The 5,002-nt window shown below is 37.2% G+C and overlaps 1 non-coding gene across 1 annotated transcript; it reads right to left on the reverse strand.

The window, feature by feature from the left end:
* Positions 1 to 790: 790 nt before the first annotated feature.
* On the reverse strand, positions 791 to 895 carry LOC124900902 (small nucleolar RNA U13). Its single transcript, XR_007058544.1, has one exon. It is a non-coding gene; the product is annotated as a small nucleolar RNA U13 (small nucleolar RNA).
* Between the last annotated feature and the right edge of the window lie 4,107 nt (positions 896 to 5,002).

Raw genomic sequence — 5,002 nt, forward strand, 5'->3', positions numbered from 1 at the left:
TAAGTACCACTTGTAATCACCAATTTACTTCTCTTTCTGCTTCACTAGACTTTCAGATCCATGAAGGCAGGGATCCTGCTGTCCTGCTCAGTACCAGCCAGTGACTGGCATATCATAGCTTCTAAACAAGTAGGTGTAGGGCCTGGAAACCACAATTTTAAAATAATGAAATAATTTAATTATATCACCTGTGGTTAATATCTTTTTGCCCTTCTTAAAGAAAATATATTTTACTTGCCCTTTTGACCAGCAGAGCAGTGACCTTCTTTTTTTCTAATTTCTAGGCATTAGAAACAAATTTGTATATACTAGAATTCTGGAGAATGAATGAATGAATGAATGGATGGATGAATGGAGGCTCTTTCCATTGTCTATTCTATTTATAGTCTCTGGTCAGCTGATAAGAATATACCCCCAACCTCTAGACTGAAAGCTGATTAAAAACCCCCAGAAAAACAAAACAAAAACAAAGGTAAAGAGGAAGCTCATAAATTATGTTTGTTTGATAACTCAAAGTGAATCACATTCTATTTTATAAATTAATTCAACTTCAGAGCTTTATCCATGACTGGGTTTCTAGCCAATTCTTGGCTTTCCAGGTTATCTAGACACTACTTGTGACCTGGCAGTGCTGTTCTAAATAAATAATGTGTTAGGGGATTTCTGTATTGTAAACTACAGATCTTGTTTCTGTCATACAATCTGTGAATTTCCAACTGAATTTCTGTGAAAGTCTATTTCAAACCTCAAACGATTAACTACTTTATTAATATATATTTCTTTTTTTTCAGGTCAGACAGGTAATATCCCCACATTGTAACTAGGTTCAGAGGGTGGCACATCTCACACATGTATGCGAACACCCAATCATTATGCTCATGAACTACAAAAGGATCATATTACTATATATTTCAAATTAATTTTTATGTACCAGAACGTTATTTGGTTGAGCTAATTTAATGAAATTTGTTAATATTTAAACATTAATAAACAGATAAAGAATGTTGGTCATTTTAATATAACTATTGAGAAAGTGAAGAAGTGATTTTAGTAAAAGCCAGTTAGTAATGGGTTTTGATTATTTGGACATCTAAGTTCAATGAATGCAAACAAATTAGAAAGGGGGCAGATGAAGAAATTTAGGAAAAGACTCACAGTTATCTCTCTCTCTCTCTTTCTTTCTTTCTTTTTTCTTTTTTCTTTTTTTTTAATTGAGACAGGGTCTCACTCTTTCACCCAGGCTGGTGTGCTGCGGCATGATCTCAGCTCACTGGAACCTCTGCCTTCTGGGTTCAAGTGACTCTCCCACCTCAACTTCACCAGTAGCTGGGACTACATGCATGCGCCACCACACCTGCTCAATTTTTGTATTTTTGGTAGAGATGGGGTTTTGCCATGTTGGCCAGGCTGGTCTTAAACTCCTGACCTCAAGTGATCTTCCTGCGTTGGCCTCCCAAAGTGCTGGGATTACAGGTGTGAGCCAGTGTGCAAGGCCTCATAGTTATCTCTTAATTACTGGTAAGACGGTTCAAAAGGACTATCTGAAAACAACATAAATAATCTTTTCTTAAAATTATATTTTTAAACATAATGAAGTTATGTTGGGGATTGGGGTTGAATGCAAAGTACTAAAAACAAGACTTTGAAATACTTTTAAAAATAATGCTTTTATTTATTTCTAGTTTCTACTCCTAATTATCAGACTAAGCAATGGCAAGGGTTGGTACCTAGAATAGATATAAATTGTACAATTGCATGGTGGATGAATTGTTCTAAAGAGATGACTCTGTTCTCCTGGAAACCTATTTATTTTTCAATTAACAAAGAGTAAAAGGCCTTTTCTGACACTTCTGCTTACGGGACAGGATAAAAAATATGCCACTTATGCTTGGTAGGTTTAATTAAATGTTTGGTTTGAGCTTATAAGGAACTATGTGTTTTAGCCAGTTCGGATTGTAATAGATAATTAAAAATTCCATTAACAATTAAGTTGGTATTTTGATTTAAAAAAAGTGTATCTAGCAGCATAAAGCCTCTCTGGTACCAAAGTTTTTGACTCTTCCTTGACATATTTCTTGTTTGGTGAATGTTTTAATCTCATCATCTCTTAGCGGTTTTCTGATTTTGTAGTTTATGACTCAAATAATGCTATTTAATCAGTGGGTCAGACTAATAAACCCAAGCTCACGCTCACTAAAATTTCAGCATAAACAGATTTGAATGGATATGTTATCTTGTCAGCATATTGCTTTTTTTGTGCAATTGCCCATATAGTTATTGCTCATTTTATGTTGTAAGCTTTGGGAAGATGAGAAGCATGCTTGTGTAACTTGATCTAAATATATTTTTTTTTTTTTAGCACATAAAGCCAAGTTGGTTAAATAATGATGACAATAATAATAGTTTTAACCATAAGTAGTAAAAAAATATTGCACGCACACTCTAAGCCTGGCATTCTCCTAAAAATTGTATGTGCATGGTCTCTGTAAGATAGATATAATCTCCATTTTATACATGAGTTAACCAAAGTTCTGGAAGGTTAAATGATTTGTTGAAGATTCAGTTATTAAATGCTAGAAATAAAAAGCAGCTTGCTTTACTCTAAAGATCATAATATTCTATTACATATGTTGTTATCAGTAGTTGAATGCCATTTACACCATTAGATATGTTGGGTTTTACTATATTCCTACCATGAGAGCACAGTGATTCTCAAACTTTAATGTGAACATCTAGTTAAAACACAGATTCTGATTCAGTAGGTCTGGGGTGGAGGCCTGAGATTCTGCATTTCTAACAAGTTCCCAAGTGACGTTGGTGATGCTGGTCCGTAAGCCACCACATTAGGCGAGGCTCTTTCCAGTGATGCCAACACGACATAGAAGGAATGTAGGGAAACATGCTGATCAGATCTTCATTGGAAGCATTTAAAAGTTTTCAACCTATAAAGTTTCTTTTTCGTTGGAGAATCTGATACGCCTTTCTCCACCTCTTAAAATTAGTGCTGTAGAGAGCCATGGATTTTGATGGCACTGCCTGCTACATCCCTTATGTGTCTGGGGATAGAAAAGGATCAGAAATGGCTGACCCAGCCGTTTCAGAACCTTGAACACTAGAACCCAGTGTGAATCCTAGGTGATTATGTTAATGCTATGGTATGGACAAGGCAGAGGGGAAAGGAAAATCAAAGCAAGGGAACTGAGTTAGGAAAAGGAAAGAGGTGGGAGGAGGAAAATAACGAGAGACAGTGGAGGAAAGTAGCCAATTACTTATGGTGGCGAATGACAGGATGACACAGAAGGTGGCCAGAAAGAGCCAAATTCTTATCACTACATAGCAAAATTTGAGGAAGCTTCTCATCCCAAATATACCACTTTCCCCAGTTAGTTATGTGGACTCCTCAAATTATGGTTTTTATTCAGGGCAACCTTTAAGACAGTACAGTGTGTTATGGCCCGGCGTGGTGGCTCATGTCTGTAATCCCAGCACTTTGGGAGGCCGAGGCGGGTGGATCACGAGGTCAGGAGATCGAGACCATCATGGCTAACTCGGTGAAACCCCATCTCTACACAAAAAATTAGCTGGGCGTGGTGGCAGGCGCCTGTAGTCCCAGCTACTAGGGAGACTGAGGCAGGAGAATGGTGTGAACCCGGGAGGCGGGGCTTGCAGTGAGCGGAGATTGCACCACTGCACATTAGCCTGGGCGACAGAGTGAAACAATGTCTCAAAAAAAAAAAGAGTATAGTATGATAGTTAGCTTCTCTTACCCACTAGCAATTTCAAGGTGAATATTTTGAGCTGGGTAAAAAATAATCTTTCACCTTCACTTTAATCATTGTTGTAGCAATTCTAGAGCTATCTTGTCCTTATAATTTAGCTAATGAGTTTGTGTAATTGAAAACAGCAGGGTGGAATGGAGGTAGTCAAATTTCATTAGTGACTTTGTTCCTGAGAAATATACATGTGTGTATGCTTGCGTACACACACATACACATACATGCACTTCTCATTTCATATCAGTGGAATGACAAAAAATGAAAGCTACTTTTTTGTCAGTTGTATATTAAACAGTTACAATCATTGCTTTTTAGAATTCCTTGTTTGAAAAGGCAATTAGGTGAAAATTCCTTGGCCAGGTTACAGAGGTAGATGGCAGATGGAAATATTATGGAAGCCACCAGGTAGCTTATGAAACACTAATGTTTTTATAAGTTTGTGAATGCCTTTCCAAACCCTTCAGTAAAATAAAACTTGTGGGAGGCCTTGGTAATAGAGATGGTGACAAGGGCCAAGTTTGGGTTAAGAATGCCTTTGGCTTAAACATAACAATGTAGACATGAACCCAGATTTTGACAGTTACCAGAGAGGCTGTCATTTCAAAATGCCAATAGAGACTGCCAACAGCAATCGCCGCAAGCTTCTTTGATCCAGGCCCTCTCAAATTATCTCTTAGTAATGTGCTGTCATGTGGAACAGCTGATGGAAACACTGAGCCCCAGTAAAACAATCAGGGAAGATTTCATACCACCATATCTCTGACTGGAGTTTTCTAATTCTTACAATTTTTTTTCTCTCATCAGTTTCTTGTTGTGTATGGCTCCATCTGGATGGAATCTATCTCCAAGTTTCCATATTATTGATCTATTAATTTCTAGCTTTTAGTCAACAATCTATGCCACCGTCCTCCTTGAGAAATTGCAAGTATGTGCTTTTTGTATTGGTAGTCTGCATGAGAAGTATAGAGAATTTTAGTCACTATTCTTTCACTACTGATCATTTCTATGGCACTTATCTCCTTGTGATTTCTCTGCTAGGTTTCTCCTGGTAGAGAAATCTAGCAGGAGAAATCTAGCAGGACTGATTGACACAAGATTGTCTGCAGCATTTATTGATGTTTACAGAGACTTTGACTTTGTGGATTGTATACACAAGGTCTAAGTCTCATGAACTTCTAAACTTCTAATTGACACTGAGTTACTAATGCTTCTACATAACAGGATCT

Source organism: Homo sapiens, chromosome 4, assembly GCF_000001405.40.
Source record: "Homo sapiens chromosome 4, GRCh38.p14 Primary Assembly".
NCBI classification, from domain to species: domain Eukaryota; kingdom Metazoa; phylum Chordata; class Mammalia; order Primates; family Hominidae; genus Homo; species Homo sapiens.